General features: G+C 37.6%; 1 protein-coding gene across 2 annotated transcripts, besides 4 other annotated features; it reads left to right on the plus strand.

Annotated features, from left to right (window-relative positions):
* Positions 277–376: an enhancer, noted in NCBI's record as "active region_20045". NCBI's record gives its function as "activates an Ori minimal core promoter by ATAC-STARR-seq in GM12878 lymphoblastoid cells {active_cell/tissue: GM12878}" and the evidence as "EXISTENCE:reporter gene assay evidence [ECO:0000049][PMID:35858748]".
* On the plus strand, positions 619–13,522 carry KBTBD8 (kelch repeat and BTB domain containing 8). Of its 2 annotated transcripts, NM_032505.3 has the most exons (4): positions 619–683; positions 1,293–1,503; positions 5,507–6,621; positions 10,234–13,522. In NM_032505.3, exons 1-4 carry the CDS (start codon positions 668–670, stop codon positions 10,695–10,697), a joined length of 1,806 nt encoding a protein of 601 aa, NP_115894.2. In that variant the 5' UTR covers positions 619–667; the 3' UTR covers positions 10,698–13,522. The 2 variants fall into 2 exon arrangements, with proteins under 2 accessions (NP_115894.2, XP_005264828.1); XM_005264771.4 differs by lacking the exon at positions 1,293–1,503.
* Positions 717–1,036: a silencer, noted in NCBI's record as "silent region_14509". NCBI's record gives its function as "represses an Ori minimal core promoter by ATAC-STARR-seq in GM12878 lymphoblastoid cells {active_cell/tissue: GM12878}" and the evidence as "EXISTENCE:reporter gene assay evidence [ECO:0000049][PMID:35858748]".
* Positions 2,340–2,439: an enhancer, noted in NCBI's record as "active region_20046". NCBI's record gives its function as "activates an Ori minimal core promoter by ATAC-STARR-seq in GM12878 lymphoblastoid cells {active_cell/tissue: GM12878}" and the evidence as "EXISTENCE:reporter gene assay evidence [ECO:0000049][PMID:35858748]".
* Positions 20,706–20,755: an enhancer, noted in NCBI's record as "active region_20047". NCBI's record gives its function as "activates an Ori minimal core promoter by ATAC-STARR-seq in GM12878 lymphoblastoid cells {active_cell/tissue: GM12878}" and the evidence as "EXISTENCE:reporter gene assay evidence [ECO:0000049][PMID:35858748]".

Consider the following 20,973-nt stretch of genomic DNA (forward strand, 5'->3'; position numbering starts at 1 on the left):
GATGCTATTTCAATTGGGTGTCATAGGTGACTCATCAGAGACGCCTTGCTTTTGGGCCTTGTGATATTTTTCTTCAGGGTGGGACGTCAGATTTCCTTTGCATTTTTGGACAACAGCCCTCCTGTCCATTTCCACATTTTTCTGGTTTTACAGCTCTCACGCAGAGCTTGATTTCATACCGGAAGCTAGTCACTGGCAGGAAGTTTACGGAAGAAGAAAAAGGTAAAAAAATGTGCCGGGGGCCAGGAGAGAGGCCTAAAATGGGGAAATTCGCACTTGAAGAGCTTTCCCTACCCCAGCCCCTCAGAATGACAGTTCTCCTCCGCCAGAAGACTACCTCTCCCGGCAGGCACTGCGCGCTCGACGGCCACAGGCTGGCCAGCTCCCTGCTCTCCACCTCCATCCGAATCAGCCAATAGGAATTCCCGGCTTGGGCCTCCGCCCGACCCGGACCACGCGGGAGCCGGGGCAATCAAACTACATTTCCCGACACGCATGTGCTCGCGTCGTGGCCAATCAGCGCCAGGAATTCGGAGGCTAGGGGTGGAGCCAGATGCACAGGACACCCCATTGGCCAGGGGAAGCTTAGAAGAGCCGGAACCCGGGAGCTAGAGAAGCGAAATGACATTTCCTTTTTAAATAGCTGGAGTCGGGGCCCCATCGAGAAATGGCCGCGTCGGCAGGTGGGTCGTGTGGTGGCCAGGGCGGCGTGGAGGGAGGTGAGGGGGAAGGTGGGCCGGGGCCGGCCACAGGCAGTGGGATGAGGACGTAGCGGTGCGGAGCTAGAGGGAAGGATGAAGCGGTGGAGGGGAATGAGAAGAGGGAGGATGAATGGTGCGGAGGGCGGTGGGCGGTCCGGCGGGACCGGGATGGGGAGGCTGGGTACCCGCCGGCGCTGCGCCCCAGGAGGCAGCGGGAGGCGGCTTGAGGGGGCACCGGCGGCCGCCGTTGTTCGAGCTTCCCTCGTGAGGCTCTGCCCTCGGCTCTCGGCGGAGTCCGCGCAGACGCCTCTCCTGGGCTGCGAGCGCGTTTCCTCCGCGAGCACGGGTGCCGGGCTCGCCGGGCTCCGCAGGAGCAGGCTGGCCTTTGAACTTGTTCCGCCGATCGCGCTCCGCCCTCTGTCTCCCAGATCCTTAACTCGCGGTCCCACGAGGTCGTGCGTATATCCACAGACATTTGTATATATCTTGTAGGGGGAAAAAGCCTAGCAAGCAGACACACAAACAGAAAAATCCCGCGATGCCGTAACTGGCTCGGCACTTCTTGTAGTTGTACGATTTTTCTCCTCCTAGATTTAAGTAAGTCTTCCCCAACACCGAATGGGATTCCATCTTCAGACCCAGCCAGCGATGCCATGGACCCCTTCCATGCTTGCAGTATTCTTAAGCAACTCAAAACAATGTACGATGAAGGACAGTTGACAGACATTGTAGTGGAAGTGGATCACGGGAAAACATTTTCCTGTCATAGAAACGTTCTTGCTGCAATCAGCCCTTACTTCAGGTATGATGATGGTAGGAACTTCTGTTGGTATCTGCACCAAGCTCCCTTTCCCCCTCAGTATTGTCCACTTGATGTTTATATTGAGATGCGATAATGAAATGAAACCAATGACTTTGTTTCTTGAGACTAGAAAACAAGTCCTCTCTTAACTAAGACCTTCTTTTGACTTGAGGGATTCTTCTAGATTTCGGGTGATTGCTTTTTAAGTTAGTGGGCCTGTGTGTGTGTGTTTGAGGTAAATGACCAGAAAATCTAGACTTGTGCTGGTCAGTATGGAAGCCAGTAGCCATGTGTGGCTGTTTAAACTTAAATTATAAGTTAAATAAAATAAAACATTTAGTTCCCCAGGTACACTAAATACTTTTTGAGTGCTTGCTGGTCACCTGCAGCTAGTGGCTGCCATATTGGGCAGCACAGAAATACAGCATTTTCATCATTGACAATTTTATTGGACAGTGCTGATCTAGAATTTCTTTCAAAAAGTTATCCATAATGCATGTTTCTTTAGTGTATGGGACTCTTTTATAAAATAGTTTAAAACATGTAGCATGTTCCTTCAAAAACAAATTACCACTCAATAGATTGTTTAAATGCTATGGGGGTCAAAGCAAGAATGAATATAGTTTCTTTGTGCCTAAGGCCCCAAATTAATAATATCCAAGATTTCTAGAAGTATGTTAAACGAAGTTTTTGTTTTTACTTATATTGTCTACTATAAAACTTTTAAAAGTAAAATTTAAAAACTTGGGTCTGAAAAATAACTTCCTACTTTAAGATGAGTGGAAAAGGCAGTTTTCTGCATGGGCTTAACTTCTTTTGTGTCAAATGCTCACTTTAAGCCTTTCAGTATTCACAAGTGGTGCATAAATAATAGTAAAGTTATCAACCACACTCTGAATGTGATTTTTCCTTTTGAAGGTGCTTACCTTTATAGGGCACATAACCATATAATGTTCCAACAGTAGTTTCTGGTTCCTCTTTCTCAGAATACTGGGTTAAATATAGTCACTTCAGTCTGATGCTTGTGATGTAACCGTTTAGACTTGCCTAGGGTAGGTCATTGGACTACTAAGTATTAATCATCGCAAGACAGTGAGCTGGAAAGAAAAAAAAACTCACATATGCAGAAGGTATGAAGTTTGGCCTGGTAATGGAAACTTCTAGTGAGATTCACTTACCCAGATTATCTATTAGATATGGTTAGGTCATTTGTATGTTTAAATATATGTCACAGTTACTACTTATCAAGCTCTAGGCTAAGCTTACTTTACATGTATTGCCTTATATAATCTTTATAATCCTATCTCTGCATAGTTGTTGTTCCATTTTACTTATGAAGAAGCTGAGGCTCAGTGAGATTGAGTTTTAATAACCTGCCTAAATCATCTATCCAACAAGTAAATGGCAGAGGCTACATTTGATTACAGAGCCAGGCTTCTTAGTAGCCATATGACTCTTAAGGAACAAGAGTTGGTACAGTTTCCTTTAAAACATTTTTATTGTATATTGCATTTGAATAGTAAAAACAAAAACAAAACAAAACAAAACAAAAACTGCAAAGTAAAAATGTCTATATCTTACTGAAATTTAATAATCTGGATTATATCATTTAAATGTCATACTTATGTATGCTTACTAAGTATACTTATTAAGTATAATACTTAGTAAGCATACATAATAAATATGATATATGTATACATATTAAGTATACTTATTAAGTATAATACTTAGTAAGTATACTTATTAGTAACTTTACATAAGTATGACATTTTCACCTTGCAGTTTCATTTTTTATTTTTGAAGACCTGGAAAAAAATTTTACTTTAAAAGAAGTATGCTATGATAGATTTCTAATTTTCTTGATTCCTTAAAATCTTAAATTCTTTAATTTTGTTAAGTCAATTTTTAAAAGGAGTAAAAAATACTTGAGAAATTTTCTGGGGATACGATATGTGCATTGAAATAAAGATATTTGGCTAGAAACCTCAAGGATTAGAATTTGATCTCTTGCTAGAGGTTTTTGTACTGAAGTTTCTTGGTACCAGCGCTGCTTCCTGTGTGGGATGTAGAAAATCGTACTTAATGTTTCTACGTCTTGCATCACTAGTGGAAGAATTAGAACGGCTGGAAATCTGGAATGGCTGTTTCATGATACCAGTAACTCATCAGAATTGAAATTTGTATGATTATTAGAAATTTTTTGCTGCTCTGGATTTTGTGTGAGGAAGTGCCCTGGCTTCATTTATGTTGAGTTTACATGAAGAACTTACTAGAACAGAGGAAAACTCATGAAGTGTGAGACCACTCCTGTGTGTAAGATGAGCCTATTCAAGTCAGCAGTAGTTCCCATGATAAAGGGATATGTGGTAATGTCTTCCTTTGGGAGTTAATGTCTCCCTAATGCAGGGCTTTATTTTTCTTTTTAATTGGTAGCTGTATCGGTGAGTCTTTCAGCACCTGAATTGAAAACCAGCACATACGTAGGAACATCTAGTTTTTAGTCATCAAAAAAGCCAGTGTGATACTAAATTAAAATGTACATTGTAGAAGTAAAAACAGGACTCGAAGATGATTAACCTGGGCAGCAAGTTGAGTCCTTGTACCTCCAGTGTTTCTCATACTGCATTTTAAAATTAATTCCATGAATTTGAGAGATATTTTTTAAGTGACTGGAAATCTTTGCAATTCATTTTTCATAAGATCACAAAAATTAAATAGGATGAGTCTGGATCATCTAGAATGAAACTTTAAAGGAGCGAAAAGAAAGGCAAATGATGTTTGCAAGTGACTAATACTTAAAGAGCCAGGCTGCTTAATGTTTCGGTCAAGAAAATCCCATAAATGCAACAATATTTTAATAATAGAAAAAACCAACTTGGTCTCGAAGGTAAAAGTTTGGGGTTTTAAAAACCATTATCTTCAAAGAATCAGTTAACTATTAAACTCTGTTTAAAACAGGCATTATGTATTGACTCTACCATAATCTTTATTTATGTCTAGATTTAGGTAGGTAAAATATGGTATCTTTGAGAAAATGAAGTATTTCCTTTTAAGCAAATGTTCTCAAAATTTCCAAGGGTAAGTGAAGTGATTATTATATTACTTATAATGGTTAAGGCAGCATTCAAAAGATGACAGTTTTAAAAAGGAGTAGGTGGAGAATATGTACTTTTAAAGAACTTCTTGCTTTTCTAAGATGAACATTTTAAAGATATATTTTGGATACAAGTTGCCTTGTAATTTTCACCAGGACATGAAAAGTTTTTATTAGGTTGTTTCTTTGTATGCTAATGTATCATGTTGATACCTTTATAGGTATTCTTTTTTTTTTTTTTTTTTTTTTGAGATGGAGTCTCACTCTGTCTTCCAGGCTGGCACTCAGCTCACTGCAACCTCCGCCTTCCGGGTTCAAGCGATTCTCCTGCCTCAGCCTCCTGAGTAGCTGGGATTACAGGGATGTGCCACCACGCCCAGCTAATTTTTTATTTTAGTAGAGATGGGGTTTCACCGTCTTGGCCAGGCAGATTTTGAACTCCTGACCTTATGTGATCCACCCACTTTGGCCTCCTAAAGTGCTGGAATTACAGGCATGAGCCACCACACCGGGCCAGTATTCTTAAGCTTTCTGACTGGCATGGCCCAATTTAAGATCTGATGTCCCTAAGGCAACTTGACCAGAACTCTGGATAGGGGCTTCTAGGAAAATAAAGTGACCTGGAATATGTGTGTCACCTTTTGATTTGCATTTACTTAGGTGTACTCTCCTTTTTTCATAGTTGGCACACAGCGAGCTAGCCCTGAGAATATGGGTTTTGAGGTTAGCCAGACTAAATCCTTCTGATACATTATCAATTTTTACTCCTATTCAGAATATCAGGGACTATTTTAGGAAATATTCTGTTTCAAAAGGTTATCTTTGTGGTAACTTTGTACTTTTAAAATCTTGCCACAATAATTTTGATTTATAGCACACGTGTAATATTAACCACTCTTTCCTTCTTAGATCCATGTTCACTAGCGGCCTTACAGAAAGTACTCAAAAAGAAGTTCGAATAGTTGGTGTTGAAGCTGAATCGATGGATTTAGTGTTGAACTATGCCTACACTTCCAGAGTTATTCTTACAGAGGCCAATGTTCAAGCCTTGTTCACTGCAGCTAGCATCTTCCAGATTCCTTCCATCCAAGACCAATGTGCTAAGTATATGATCAGTCATTTGGACCCACAGAATTCTATTGGGGTCTTTATCTTTGCTGATCATTATGGTCATCAGGAACTCGGAGATCGATCAAAAGAATACATTCGTAAAAAGTTTCTGTGTGTCACCAAAGAACAAGAGTTTCTCCAGTTGACAAAAGACCAACTGATAAGTATACTAGACAGTGACGATTTAAATGTAGACCGAGAAGAGCATGTTTATGAAAGCATTATAAGGTGGTTTGAGCATGAACAGAATGAAAGAGAAGTGCACCTTCCAGAAATTTTTGCTAAATGCATACGTTTTCCTCTGATGGAAGATACCTTTATAGAGAAAATTCCACCTCAGTTTGCACAGGCTATAGCCAAAAGCTGTGTAGAAAAGGGACCATCCAACACCAATGGCTGTACACAGAGGCTTGGAATGACTGCTTCTGAAATGATCATATGTTTTGATGCTGCCCACAAACACTCAGGAAAGAAGCAAACAGTGCCTTGTCTAGATATAGTCACAGGAAGGGTGTTTAAACTATGCAAACCACCAAATGACCTGAGAGAAGTTGGGATTCTTGTATCACCAGATAATGACATTTACATTGCAGGAGGGTACAGGCCAAGCAGCAGTGAGGTCTCCATCGACCATAAGGCAGAAAATGATTTCTGGATGTATGATCATTCCACCAATAGATGGCTATCCAAACCATCCTTGCTTCGAGCCAGAATAGGCTGCAAACTTGTCTATTGCTGTGGTAAAATGTATGCAATCGGAGGTCGTGTTTATGAAGGTGATGGGAGAAACTCACTAAAATCTGTTGAGTGCTACGACAGTAGAGAGAATTGTTGGACGACTGTTTGCGCGATGCCAGTTGCAATGGAATTTCATAATGCTGTGGAGTACAAAGAGAAGATCTATGTTTTACAGGGTAGGTGCCTAAGTGATTTAGTTTTTCATGGAAGGGTAACACATCAAGTGGTGGTTTACTTAATTATACTGAAACAGTTGTGTTCCCGTTAATTGAGGAATACCTCCAGCTTCCTTATCAAACTATTGGAACAGTCTGTTCTGTAAAGAGCTATAAAGAAAATAAACTCTTGAATTAAAAAAAGGCAGGTATTGTTAAATTACTAAAATAATCCTATAATTTTTAATGATTTTGTGTCTTGATATCATGTAGAATAACTATTTTTGAAAACATTCTTTAATAAATAATAGTTCGGCATTTTGGGATAACTATTTCAGAGTAGTTTGTAGGACTTGAAATAAATAGCAAGGTTGTTACATGGCTGTTTTTGCTCTTGAGTAAAATTGAGATGTTGTAGCAACTGGTATTCTGTGGAATTTACTGGATTAGTTTAAAAGAGAAAAGAACAAAGCATTAATTAAGTTATACTATTTAGTTACCAAAGAGTTTTATATAAGCCTTATTATTGCAAAAATTATGAAATTTAATTACAAAGAGTTTGGAAGTATGGTCTTCAAGTTTCACCTTCACTGCTGTTTATGTTGCCTTTCATAATACATTTTCAATTTTTTTCACCGGAAAACTTTGAGATGTCCCTTTTTTTTGGTTTGCCATTTTAAGTGGGACTATCTGATATATGTAGTGTTTGTTTTGTTTTGTTTTCTGTTTGTTTTTTTAACTGTTAAGGACTACTACTTTGGCAAAAATACAGTAGAGGTAGAGTGACTGAGTCAGAGTAAATAAGACATTTGATTCAAGGCTCTGATTTGTGATAACTATTTTCCTTTTATTTGGTTTCTTACACATTTTAGTTGCTTGAATGTTTAATGCAGTGTAGATAATAGCAACATCCTTATTCCTCGTATGTGTCTCTTAATTGATGTTTTTCTCACACTACTACTTAAGGAAAAGGAGCAGCTTCTATGAAGATATACAGTCATGTGCCATGTAATGTTTTGGTCAATGATGGATCACATACACAATGGTGGTCCTATAAGATTATGATAGCATATTTTTACTGTACTTGTTCCATGTTTAGATATGTTTAGATACAAAAATGCTTCCCATTGTGTTACAGTTGCCTAGAGTACTCAGTACAGTCACATGCTGTACAGTTTTGTAGCCTAGGTGTGTAGTAAGCTCCCATCTAGGTTTGTGTAAGTATGCTCTATGATGTTCTTCCCACAAGGACAACTATCACTTAATGATGCATTTCTCAGAATATGTCCCTGTCATTAATTGATGCATGACTGCCCTTATCCCATTGTTTTCTTTCTTTCTTCTTTCCCCTCCCCCTTCCCCTTCCCTTCTTTTCTTTCATTTCTTTCTTTCTCTTTTTTTTTTTGAGGCAGGGTCTCACTCTGTCACCCAGGCTGGAGTGCAGTGGCATGATCTTGGCTGACTTCAACCTCCGCCTCCTGGGTTCACATGATTCTTCCACCTCAGTCTCAGGCATCTGCCACCATGCCTGGCTAATTTTTTTATTTTTGGTAGAGTCGGCGTTTCACTATGTTGACCAGGCTGGTCTTGAACTCCTGACCTGCAGTGATCCACCCACCTTGGCCTCCCACCATTGTTTTCTTTTAAAAATTGTGTTCCTTGCTCTAATCCTTTATTTAACTAAAAATTTCCTAGTAATATCTGAGCTCATTTGTTTAAGTTCAGTGTCAAGTTAATTCCTCAGAAGGAGTTGTACTCTCTGGTTCCTTATTTTAGTTAAATAGAAGCACAGGCCATGATTTGGGTTTGCTGTCTTGTGGAAAAATGGAATATAAGAATGGATGTATGATCCGTCCAGTATACTTGGATAGGTTATGTCATCCAGTATGATGAAGCTGTCTGTGTATGTGTGTATTTTGGTCTTACTGCCTAACTGTTAGTTGGTAGAGGTAGAATTAGATTCCTATTTGGAATGTGAAGTTTGTATATTAATGCAAATACTAAAGCAAACTAGCAATGAATTAATAGAATTTCAGGGCTGGAATTATTAACATCATTTAATTTGAGGTTATATTTTATATAAGAGGACTCTGAAGCCCTAAGGGTTTCTTAATTGCATATTATTAGCTTTAACTTTTATTAAAGAGTACTTTAGATTTTAACATTCAACTTCTTTGGTGTGTCGTCTTTACTTTCTTATCTATAAGAAATTTATAGAGAAGTAGCACACATTACAAAGTTTAAATTTCCTACCTTATTTATCGAGAATCCTGTTACAAGTTAGGCAATAAGGGCAGATGATGTGCGAGCAAATCTGGGAGCTTTACAAGCTATTTTAAGTTAGTTGAAGGCAAAGCATCACTGTTACGAAGTACGTAGTTGAATTTGTAGATAAGAGTAACCCTAGTTCAAAACAGTTTTCAAGGGGAAGCTCAATTTAGAATCTGGTATTTCTAATCTAAACAAAGCCTCTTTACATAAATAAACCTGACATGCATAGTCAGAAGCTTATGTTGTACTATCTGTGGCTATTGAAGTATCATTTAATCTGTTCATAAAGTGTTCAGATTTTTATTACAAAGATTTTAAACAAATGCTATAATTAGCAAAACTATTGTAAATCTTCACTACTTTAATTCTTTCAGACATTTTCATATTGGCAGTCTGACTCAGCATACCTTTTTATTATCAAATCAAAATAGAAACTGACTCAAAGTCAACATCACAAACCATGTATGTGTTTTCTATCTTATTAAAGTCATGTTTTCTCCTGCTGAATATTTCTCTTTGCATTATAGCAACATTCAGGTAAGCACATCAGTGACCCATAAGCATAAATCTGCACAATTCCATCTGCTGTCTTCTAATTAAATAGCATACACATTTATCATGGCATATTTATGATGATGTTACATGTATGCATTTTGGTCTTACTGGCTGAACGTTACTAATAATGCTTTTTTAGAGCTAGAGTAAAATGAATTTTCTATAAACACACAAATTGGATAGAGCAAATAGAATCAAGTTTGTGTTTTTTTTTTTTTTTTTGAGATGGAGTCTCACATTGTTACCCAGGCTGGAGTGCAGTGGCGTGATCTTGGCTCACTGCATCCTTCACCTCCTGGGTTCAAGTGATTCTCCTGCCTTAGCCTCCTGAGTAGCTGGAATTACAGGTGCCTGCCACCACACCTGGCTAATTTTTGTATTTTTAATGGAGATGGGGTTTCACCATGTTGGCCAGGCTGGTCTCAAACTCCTGACCTCAAGTAATCCACCCGTCTCAGCCTCCCAAAGTGCTGGGATTACAGGCGTGAGCCACTGTGCCTGGCCAGAATCAAGCTCTTAACAATTCTGCCATCAAGCCCAAGTAACTCCTTGTACCTTCCCAATACAAACCTCCCAATTCAGGTTGATTATAATATTATCTGTTATATTGTGTCATGGAATGACAAAGTTTTAAGGTATTTTGTAACCCATATGAATGTATCTCTGGAGATTATAAAAGAAATGTTTTAGAAAGTGAAATATATAGCAAATTATGCCCTTTAATCTTTAGAGGTTGTAGTTACAACATATAACCAAAAACCAAACATAAAAATTTACATATTCTTGTTTTCTTTTTTTTTTTTTTAGGAGAATTTTTTCTCTTCTATGAGCCTCAAAAAGACTACTGGGGTTTCTTAACCCCCATGACTGTGCCTAGAATCCAGGGCTTAGCAGCTGTATACAAGGACTCTATCTACTACATAGCTGGAACCTGTGGAAATCATCAACGTATGTTTACTGTAGAAGCCTATGATATTGAGCTAAATAAATGGACTCGTAAGAAAGACTTTCCATGTGATCAGTCCATAAATCCATACCTTAAACTGGTACTTTTCCAGAACAAACTCCATTTATTTGTTCGAGCTACTCAAGTGACTGTTGAAGAACACGTCTTCAGAACCAGCAGAAAAAATTCCCTTTACCAATATGATGACATTGCTGACCAGTGGATGAAAGTGTATGAGACCCCAGATCGGCTCTGGGACCTTGGCCGGCATTTTGAATGTGCTGTTGCTAAACTGTATCCTCAGTGTCTTCAGAAAGTACTCTAAATGAGTAGCAGGCCTTAGTGCATCACTGGCATCTCATTCTTAGGAAACTTGTCTTTGATACAAAAGAGTGCTGACAGTATTTCAGAAAGCTGAGAGAGTTTTATACATGGAAAATGGGTATGCTTAAAGATTGCAGGGTAGGGAGGGATTTTCCTTCATCCTTGTGACATTTCATTTCAGTAAGGAAAAGATAACAAAGTGCAATTATCAGCATTTTTTTTTCCTGGCATAAAATTAATCATTTCATTTTATAATTTTGTGATAAATAGTAACTGAGGTACCAGATGAATCAGGACAACTATGCACTCTTATAAGAGCATTTAGGGTATTATTGGGTAAAGACGTCTAAACTTGTTTGATGTGACTTTTAATTTTAAATACGGGTAACAATCTGAGGCAATATCACTAGGACTTTAGCTGTGACCTCTCTAACACAGAGAAGCACTAACTTAGATCCTCATTCTTAATATTTATATGTATCTATTTTTGTGTACTGTTTTCAAGTGTACTGAGATTTAAATGTGTTCTATTATTAGAGTAGATCGAAGAAAAAATTAGTCTCAGAAAGAGCTTTTAGTCTGATTGTTTCCATTTCCCATGTAATTTTAAGTTAAGCTAAAGTTTTAAAGTGGCAGTTTTCTGTCGATGACTTTTTCAAGTGCTAACACTGTCTCTTTTGTGAAAATCTGGAAAAGTGCTCATATTCACAGGTGGCTGGTGCTAGTCTAACTTAATTCATGTGTATAACTAGATGGATTTAAATGGTCTGAGCCTATGCCTATCTTTCAAATTGGTGTGGATTTCATGGCCATAGTACTTTACCTGTTGAACTCTTGTGATTTCACAAGATTCTCTACTTATGTGATAGGAGGGTATGGCCAGTTATTCATCTAACTGGACTCAATCTTAGAATAGTAGGAACATTATACCCAGTTTGCACTAACATGGGCCATTTGTAGCCCAACCTTCTCTTCCATCTACCTGTCCATTCATTATTGGTACAAGGAAAGGTAACTTATTTCTCTTCTGCACAGAGCATAATGTGAAGTTTTATACCTACTTTTAAAATTCTGCTTTCCAGAAACAAAATTCCTGCAGTGGTCTAATTTAATGTCTTTAAGTTTCATATTACAATTAAAACCTCATTTTTTTTTTCCATTTTTGCACTTAACAGTGATGAATACTTTTACGTTGGAATCCTCCTTCTAGCTGAAGGTGATTGAAAAGGAAAAGAGTGAGTGAACAGAACCATAGCTTTCTAGGTACTAAAGCATTTTTTGCATTTAACTGATGAAATTTCTAACAATCATCAGTTAGGAATATTAACATGAAGGATAAACCAACTTATTTGTATACCTAAGGCAGGCATTTGGATCAGTAACATGTTTTACTAAGCCTAGAGTAATTCGTAAAGGGTATAAGCATAGGACAGATTTTGCCCTCAATCACAATATTTGTATTCACTTGAAAGCAAACTGGCATGGTTCGTATTTTAAAAATCTTGCACAAATTGTAATGTGATACTGTGAAACAAATTGAAAACATTGCCTCTTTGCATCACATACCTCGTTTTTCAGAAACTTTCCAAACTGCTTTACATAGACCTCTACAAGTAGGGAATGTTTTCTGAAGCAGAAGTTAAAATGGACAGCATTTCTAGAATTAACATTTTAAAATCTAGTCTTAGCTAGATATGTGGTTTCTTCTTATTGGTGTTGATAGTATGTCTGTAATCTCTGTATAAACTTTGTCAACATTTTTACCTCCCCAGTTTTATCTTCTGTTTTGTTTTTGTTTTTATCATCATGATGTTTTGGAGTTATTACTGTGTATTTTAGAAATCATTCTTTACAGTTTTGCATTGCTGAGGAGAGAGAAAAAACAATTTTTTTGCAAGAGATGTTCATGTAATTTATTTTTGAAAGCTTTGTTGAATAAGATTTCCTGCCGCTTTTTGACAATCTTGTGTATTTAGAAAAATGTATTACTTGAAAACATGACATAGAACATTGAGTTAGCAATTTACATGGGCTGTATGTTATATAAGAGAATGACATACTGTGGCTAATTCAACAGTAGATTTATTCTTTTAGCCTGCACAACAGTTGATCTTTTGGCTATGACAATTTGTATGGAGGGTACGATCTAAGTTAAGTGTGTCAAAAGCAAGGCTTAGGATTTGTTATGGGAGTAGAATATATATTGAATTTTGTATGAAGAACTATTTGTTTAAATTATATAGCTGGGATATTTTGCCACTGTTAAAATGGATTCAGAAGAGGTCCTAGAAAAGTAAGATTAGTGACATGTGTGGGTTTATATTTAGATATTTAAGGTGCATTTTCATAGTGTGGTAAGACCTTAAGTAAAAGGCACAATGGGTACTACAGAATTAAAATGTAGGTCTAACATAATGCCAGTTCCACTTTAACTTTGTTTTTGCATTTGAAGAATGTATGTAGCACTTTCCTATATATTTGTCACACATTGAAAACTGGACTGGGTATAACTATGTTATAGGAAAGTAGAAATTGTATTCTTTATTTTCCATCTTTGTTTTCTGTTCTACAAAGTTGATGCTTAAGCATCAAGCTGATTTTATTGGTCATGAGAACAAATGGATGTGATCATGAAGGAATCAGATTCCCTATGTAAAGCAGTTTAAAATGGAATTCAATGTTCAGTGCTCAGGTATGTAGTAAGTACTGTAGTCCTGTGGGGGCAAATGTGTAGATATTTTTAAACATTTTGCCATAATTGCACAATTTTTTGCATTTTTACCTGATGTCATTGTTTCTTATAATAAAACCTTTTCTGATTGAAAACTTCCAGTGTTGCAAAGTGATATCTGACTAGTGAGTGTTGCAGAATTAAAATCTGGTAAAAAATCATGAAATACCTTATGTCATGATAGAATGGAATGAGATTTTAATCTATTGAATACCTGTCCTCTGGTAAAAAATGAACTACTTTATGTATATAATACTTTTTAAATTCTAAAGCAAGTTAGTTCACTTATATTGGTAAATTCTTTGTTCTGTTTGTTCTGGCCTAAAATCTTGTTATGTTTGACTCTTTTGTGTTGGTCCACTTTGCATTACCGTAAAGGAATACCTGAGATTGAGGCCTCAGGAGGCTTTAGCTCATGGCAGAGGGTGAAGCGGGAGCAGGAAAGAGAGGGAGCCAGAGAAAGTTGGGGGAGGTTCCTGTCTCTTTAACAATGGGATCTCACATGCGCTCATTACCATAGGGAGGGCACCAAGCCATTGATGAAGAATCCACCCCCATGATCCAAATACCTTCCACTAGGCCCCACTTCTTCCAACACTGGGGATCACATTTCGACATGAGATTTGGAGGGGACAAATGCCCACACTATATAATCTCTTACGTATTTCATGTTTAATTCATCAGAAAGTCCCGTTGCTTCTTCCTTCATAATACATCCAGACTCAGACCACATACCATTTGCACCACTGTCACCCTAGTCTAAGCCAGCTTATCTTATCTGACTTAATGCAGTTTCCACTGACTGGTCTTCCTTCTATCACCCTTGACCCCTCATAACCTATTCTTTTCTCCACACAGTACTCAGAGTGATCCTCTTAAAACACAAGTCAGATCATGTTTCTCTTCTGCTCAGATCCTTCCAATGGCTTCCCATCTCCCTTCATATGACAGCCAAACTCCATACTTACATGATCCACCCCTCTCAAACTTGTTGCCATTTACTTGGCTTGCTCTATTTTAGCCACACTGACCTTGCTTGTTGCTCAAACCTGCTGAGCACCTCCACAGCGACTTTGCCCTTGCTGTCTCTTTTGCTGGATAGATCTTGACAACTCACTCACTTTCTTTTTTATTAAAACATCACCTTACTGGAGAGGCCTTCTCTGATCACATTTTGTAAAATAAGATCATCCAACCCCACCCCCATCATACCTCCTGCTTTATTTTTCTGCTTTATTTTCCATATGTGTCTTCCCCCATTGAAATGTACACTCCACAAAGGCAACGAATTTATTTTAATTCACTGTTGCACTTTAGATTGATGCCTAGCACATAGTAGGCACTCAATGAATGCTTGTGGGAAGAAATGAATTTTCAGTTAAGTCTTGGAGCCTAAAGGATTACCAATTTTATTGGTCTTTTCAAAAAAAAAAAAAACCAGGTTTAGTTCTAATGAATTTTCTCTATTGTTTTGTGTTTTCGGTTTCATTGATTTCTGTTCTAATTTTTATAGTTTTTTTTCTTCTGGTTGCTTTAAGTATTAATAACTCATCTTTCTATTTCTTTTCTTTTTTTTGAGACAGGGCCTTACTCTGCCCAGGCTGGAGTGCAGTGACGCAATCTTGGCTCACTGCAGTCACCTCCACGGCTCAAGAGATCCTCCCACCTCAGCCTCCTGAGTAGCTGGGACTACAGGCGCACGCCACTGTGACCAGCTAATTTTCATTTTTTTTTTTTTTTTTTTTTTTTTTTTTTGTTAATACGGGGTTTCACCATGTTGCCCAAGCTGATCTCAAACTCCTGGGCTCAAGTGTTCTGCCTGCCTCAGTCTTCCAAAGTGCTGGGATTATAGGCATGAGCCACTGTGACTGGCCTTCTTTTCCTAATATATGCATTTAATGCTATAAATTTTCCTTTAAGTATTTCTTTTGTAGAATCCCACAAATTTTATTTAGTATTTTCATTTTCTTAGTACAAAATATTTTTATCATGTCTTCTTGGGGAATATACCCTTTCATAATTATGTAATTGCTTCTCTTTATCCTTGATAATCTTTTTTCTGAAGTCTTCTCTGTTTGAAATTAACATAGCCACTCAAGTTTTCTTTTAATTACTGTTTGCTTCATTTATCTTTCTCCATCCCTTCTCTTTTAACCTATCCTAATCTTTATACTTAAAAGGGCTTTCTTGTAGACAACTTACAGTTGGGACTTATTTTAATATCCATTGTGAGAATACTGGTATGTTTAGACCAGCATTGCATTTAAAGTGAGTACTGATATAGTTGGGTTAATATTTAACATATTGGTTATTGTTTTCTATTTGTTGCCCTTCTTCTTTGTTTCTTTTTTTCACCTATTTTCCTGCTTTCTCTGGTTTTGACTGAGCATTTTATATAGGATTCTATTTTATCTCCTCTTAGCACTTCAATTATACTTTAATTTTTTTTTCAGTGGTTGCATTAGACTTACAATATACATTTCAAAACTAATCTAAGTCCACCTTTAAATAACACTATACTGCTTCGTGTGTAGTGTAGGTATCTTAGAACAAAGTTCCCAATTTTCCCCTCTGATCCCTCATGACATTGCTGTCATTCATTTTAGTTATCCATATGCTATAACCATGCAATACATTGTTATGATTAAAGTCATACTTTTAGATCAATTGATATTTAAAAAATAAGATATTTTACTTCATCTTCACTTATTCCTTCAGTATTCATTTATTTAGGCAGATCTAAGTTTCTGTTCTGTTTCAATTTTCTTCTGCCCAAATAACTTCTTTTATTGGGCATTGCTTGCAAGACAGATCTGCAGGTCATGAATTCCTTCAGATTTTTGTTTGAAAAAGTCTTTATTTCTCATGTTTCAAGGATAATTTTGCTGGATCTAGAATGCTAGGTTAGTGGGTGTTTTGCTTCAACTTTGTAAAGTGAGTAGCTTCTAATTAAATATCAGTGGTTTGGTGGGCCTGTGTCTTGGGGCTGTGATCTTCACAGGTGTTTCTCTAGTGGTACAGCTTTTGGTTTTCCCCTCTCCATCCTCTTTCTGGCTGTGCCATTCCCAATTTTATTTCTTTGAAGCCCTGACCCATGTTGATTAAATCCTTTTTCCTTTAGGTGAGAAGAGAAGGTTAGAGAGGTTTGGGATGGGAGGAATGCTCTTCCCCCTGCTTTTGTTGAACTCTGCCAAAATGTTTTTCCGTGGAGAGTATGCTTTTTAAATGGAAAAGGTTCTGGGTGTATTTCATGATCATTACTCTTCCTGTCCCCTAGTCAGAGCCACTAGGAGGTTTGTCTCAGATCTTTGCCATGAGAACCTGGTAGAGTGCCTGTTGGTAAAATCCACAGAAGCGTAGGGGCCCCAAAAGACTGAAGTTCCCAGGAGTTTTCCACTTTCATGGGAGTCCATGTTCAGCCTCAGCGATTCATCAAAAATGACCATTTAAGTGTTCTTACAGTTTACGGCTCTGGTTACTTCTGGTCAAGGTTAGCAGATCTGGACTGTGACTCTGAATTCACCTCTAATCCAGGGTAACATTTGCCCTGCAGCCTAATTTCTCTGATGGATCTAATAAAAGTCATTGATTGTCAGTTTGAATACCTTTTTCTTCCAAGGTTAGGAATGACAACATCCAGGATCTTTACATTTTCAGTGCTAAATGTGGAATCCCCTATAATAAGCTTCTAATACATATTTTTGATTGAATGATTCTTCAGTTATGCATAAATATCTTATGCCATCTTTTATATGTATAATGTTTTTTAACAATTAAAAAATAAGCTAAAAAGTCTCACTTTTAAAAACCTATATACTTAATCATATTTAGGTATCTTTTATTTATAATTTATACGGCCATGGGATTATTTGACATGTAGTTCAGTGAATGTTGACTCTTGAGTACCTAATAATCCATATTTCTTGCACCAAATTAAAATTATATAAGTTAAAAAAATCAATCATTTTAAGACTTTTTTTCCCAGGCTACTAAAACTAAATAGAAAATTACAATGTAATAATTTTAAATTATCCTTATCATGGATAGACAGAACATTTTCTATTGGCTAGTTTTTTAGAAATGAGATTTAATAGATCCTTTTTCTCCTTTCTTTCCTCTTCCATAAGGATATGCACAATTATATGATTTGGTGAATCAAACACTATAATATTAAGTAAAACGTGGAATATATTTTCTAAATATTTTATATTGGTCTGGTCAACATGAATTATAGTGTTTTCCGTGACCGCAGGTAGATTACTTACCTTTTCTAGCTTTACTTTTTCATGCATAAAACAGGTTAATAATCTACCACGTTATCGAGTTTTTTTGAGGATCAAATAAGCATGTGAAACACTTATCACAGTGCCTTATCACAGCACATAATGAACACTTCCTAAATATTAATTTGTTGAAATTATTAACGACTATTCTGCAGTCTTTTAGATATACTTAACCATTGTAGAACAATATTCCTTAATAGCTAATATAAAGTATATATTAAAGTGTAGCCATTTGGACTCTGATTGTGCTCATAAGCCATGCATGAAAACAATTTTTACAGTTTTACAGTCACACAGTTCTCACTTTCATTTCTGGACTGTGCATTTCTAAAGGACTGAAATTAAACCAATGGTATTTAAAATAATTTAAACAAGGCTTGTAACCTCTGTCTGCAAAATAAAAATAATGCTTTTTGGCTTGTCTATTTTTACAAACTGACAAGGGCCTGTCCTTAGAGTTTATCTTGTTCTCTGTTCCCATTCAGAGATAAGGACCTGTCCTAGTCAGTTCAGGCTGCCATAACAAATTGCCATAGGCTGCATGGCTTAAATAACAAACATCTATTTCTCCCAGTCCCGGAGTCTGGAAGTTTAAGATCAAGGTGCTGGCAGATCCTGTGTCTGGTGAGGGCCCTCTTCTCATCGCATCCTCTCATGGTGAAGAGCAGAGAAAGAGAAAGATAAAGCAAGCTCTCTAGTGTCTTTTTATAAAGGTACTAATCCCAGATCCCTCATGACCTAACCACCCGCAACGGCCCTACCTCCTAATACCATCACATTGGGGGTTAGGATTCCAGCACATGAATTTGGCGGAATTGGCAGAAACATTCAGTTCACAGCAGGATTTAACAGAGTTGCGGTCACATAGTTCAGTTCTTGAAACACATGCTTGCAAAATCCTTTAAGGATAAGAAGATAAGGTCAAAACATCTTATCCCAACACTTAGATTACGATGTCAAGTAGCCAAAGTTAAGTCTTGAGGAGCAAATGCCAACAGGAACCCACACAACGCAGGGGAGTATTTCCTTGTAATCAGTGAGAACCTGAGATAGTAAGAAATCCATGGTGCTCTCTGACAACTGTTCTTAAAGCTCAAGAGCTTGGTCAAGGTTAGCGATGGAACTTAGGAGTCTGGCATATCCACAGAGCTGGTTTTAGTTGAATTTGAGTTAATGGATGAGTTAGTGCAAAGATAAATTGTAAAATGAGAAGCGAAAGTAGCTAAGAATAAAATTTAAGAAATTCAGCTGAAGGAACAGAAGAAAGGCAACTGAAAAGTTATCAGAGAAGAAGGGAGAATCACAAAGGAGTAGTAATGCATGAGAAAACTTCAGGAATGAGATCCAAAGAGAAGAAATGAAATGCAGAGAGTAAGAGGCTCCTGGTCTAGCCATGTGAAGATCTGAAATGAGAAAGTGGTTTTAGCCAAGTGCAAGAGATGAAAACCAATTGCTGTGAATTAAGGTGCAGGTGGAGGATGTGAGTGGGTGTCAGTGGGTGAGAGTGCAGGTGCTTCCCCAGGAAGCCTGCAGGTGAGGAGATTCTGAGACGTGGAGGTGCTGGAGAAATAATATTTTTTTAAAAATCAGAACATTTAGGCCTTTTCAATAAAAATGGGAAATGAGAAATATCCTTGCAAAAAGTCAAAATCTTTTCCATTTCTAGACTATTCCCGGTTGAGAGTTCTGCAGTATACCCGTTAACCCCAAAAGTTAAAGAGATTAGGGATATGCAAAAACATGCAAAGAGGCAGGACTGATGAAAGACAAACCCCTAGAAATAGGAGCAGAGTGAAAAAAGAGAAAATCCTGACCCAGAGAGAGGTAGACACACTTTCTATAGCCTCTTACATTTCTGAAAAAGAATGAAAATAGTAAGAGTTTTTGCAACTTCTTGCTACTTTGCCCCAGAGCCAAATATGGTTCCCACCCCTGACCCAAAACATCTGGTTTGTGATAAGGGCTCAATTATCCTGTGCTTTCTAAAGTATGTGGTGGGTGTGGTGATGGCAGGAGTCAACAGGCAGAAGAATGGATGAGCTAATCAGAGCATGCATACGTGAAAGTAAAGAGGACAAGGGTCCTCTCACTTGGTGTTTGTGTAGCTGGAGATGACAGGGAGATGACACCTATCACTCAGGGGCCTGCCCCAGTGAGTGGGGAGTTTCATGGATCTCACCTCAAGTTGTACAAGTATATGTCCTGGGGCAATTTTGATTCACAATTTATAAAATCATGGTAGGATTTTATAATTTTATTTTATAACTTTACCCTATAGCTGCAGGCAGAAAAAAGAGGAGAGTAATTTTGATATGTGTATATAGGCTTTTTTTTCACTTTATATGAATTGTTTATTCATATCTTTTCCTCATTTTTCCTTTTTAAAATTTCATTTAAGTTCCGGGATACACGAGGTTTTTATATTCATATATAAATGTGATACACAGCAAAATACTTGCATCAGTATCTGTGTATCCTTCTTGAAGGTTTCTAAGAAATTGGTTATAATTTTCTTTTTAATCTACATTTTACTATTCCAAAAATTAAAATGCTATCCACACTTTACTGGGCACTGACCTGTGTGAGGTTGATTTCCATGGTAGCATGAAAAAATATATCTATCCTGTTTTGCATGACAAAACATATCTATCATACTTACATATATGATAACAACGACCCATGTGAAAAATAATATCTATGAGACACTGACTAATATCTTATTCTTGCATATCACTTTCTAGTTTTTGAAATGCTTTGGTATCTGTTATCTTTTTGGTTCCTACTACCGGTGCTGCAGCCATCTGTCATTGTCCCCCTTTTACTTTTGAAGAAACAAAGAAACAGAAAAGGAGTTGTTAAACTTAGGGATCAAACTTAGCTGTAAATGAAAGCAGACCTGTTAATTTCCTCCCACTCCCTAGTGAGCAGGGACCCAGGAAGATGGCCCGAATGGTTATATTCAAAGGCAGAACGTGGAGGTGCTGGGACTGCAGACCTTCTTGCTGGTCAAGGAGCCAGTTTGGGATGTAAAGTGAGTGAGTTCACTTTTGGAAGAGCTGAGTTTCAAGTGACAGAGGATCACTATGTATAGATTACTGTGCCGAGAAACAGCCAGGATGGGTGTGGAGACAGGAAACTGAATGAAGGTGATAGGTCAGGCGAAGATGTGGAGTTGGCAGTCACCCAAATACCGGTCAGCGCTCAAGGCACTTACAGAGGGAACGAGAAGAGCCCGGGTGAGAGCCAAGCGTCGGAGGGCCCAC

This window comes from Homo sapiens, chromosome 3, assembly GCF_000001405.40.
Source record: "Homo sapiens chromosome 3, GRCh38.p14 Primary Assembly".
NCBI classification, from domain to species: domain Eukaryota; kingdom Metazoa; phylum Chordata; class Mammalia; order Primates; family Hominidae; genus Homo; species Homo sapiens.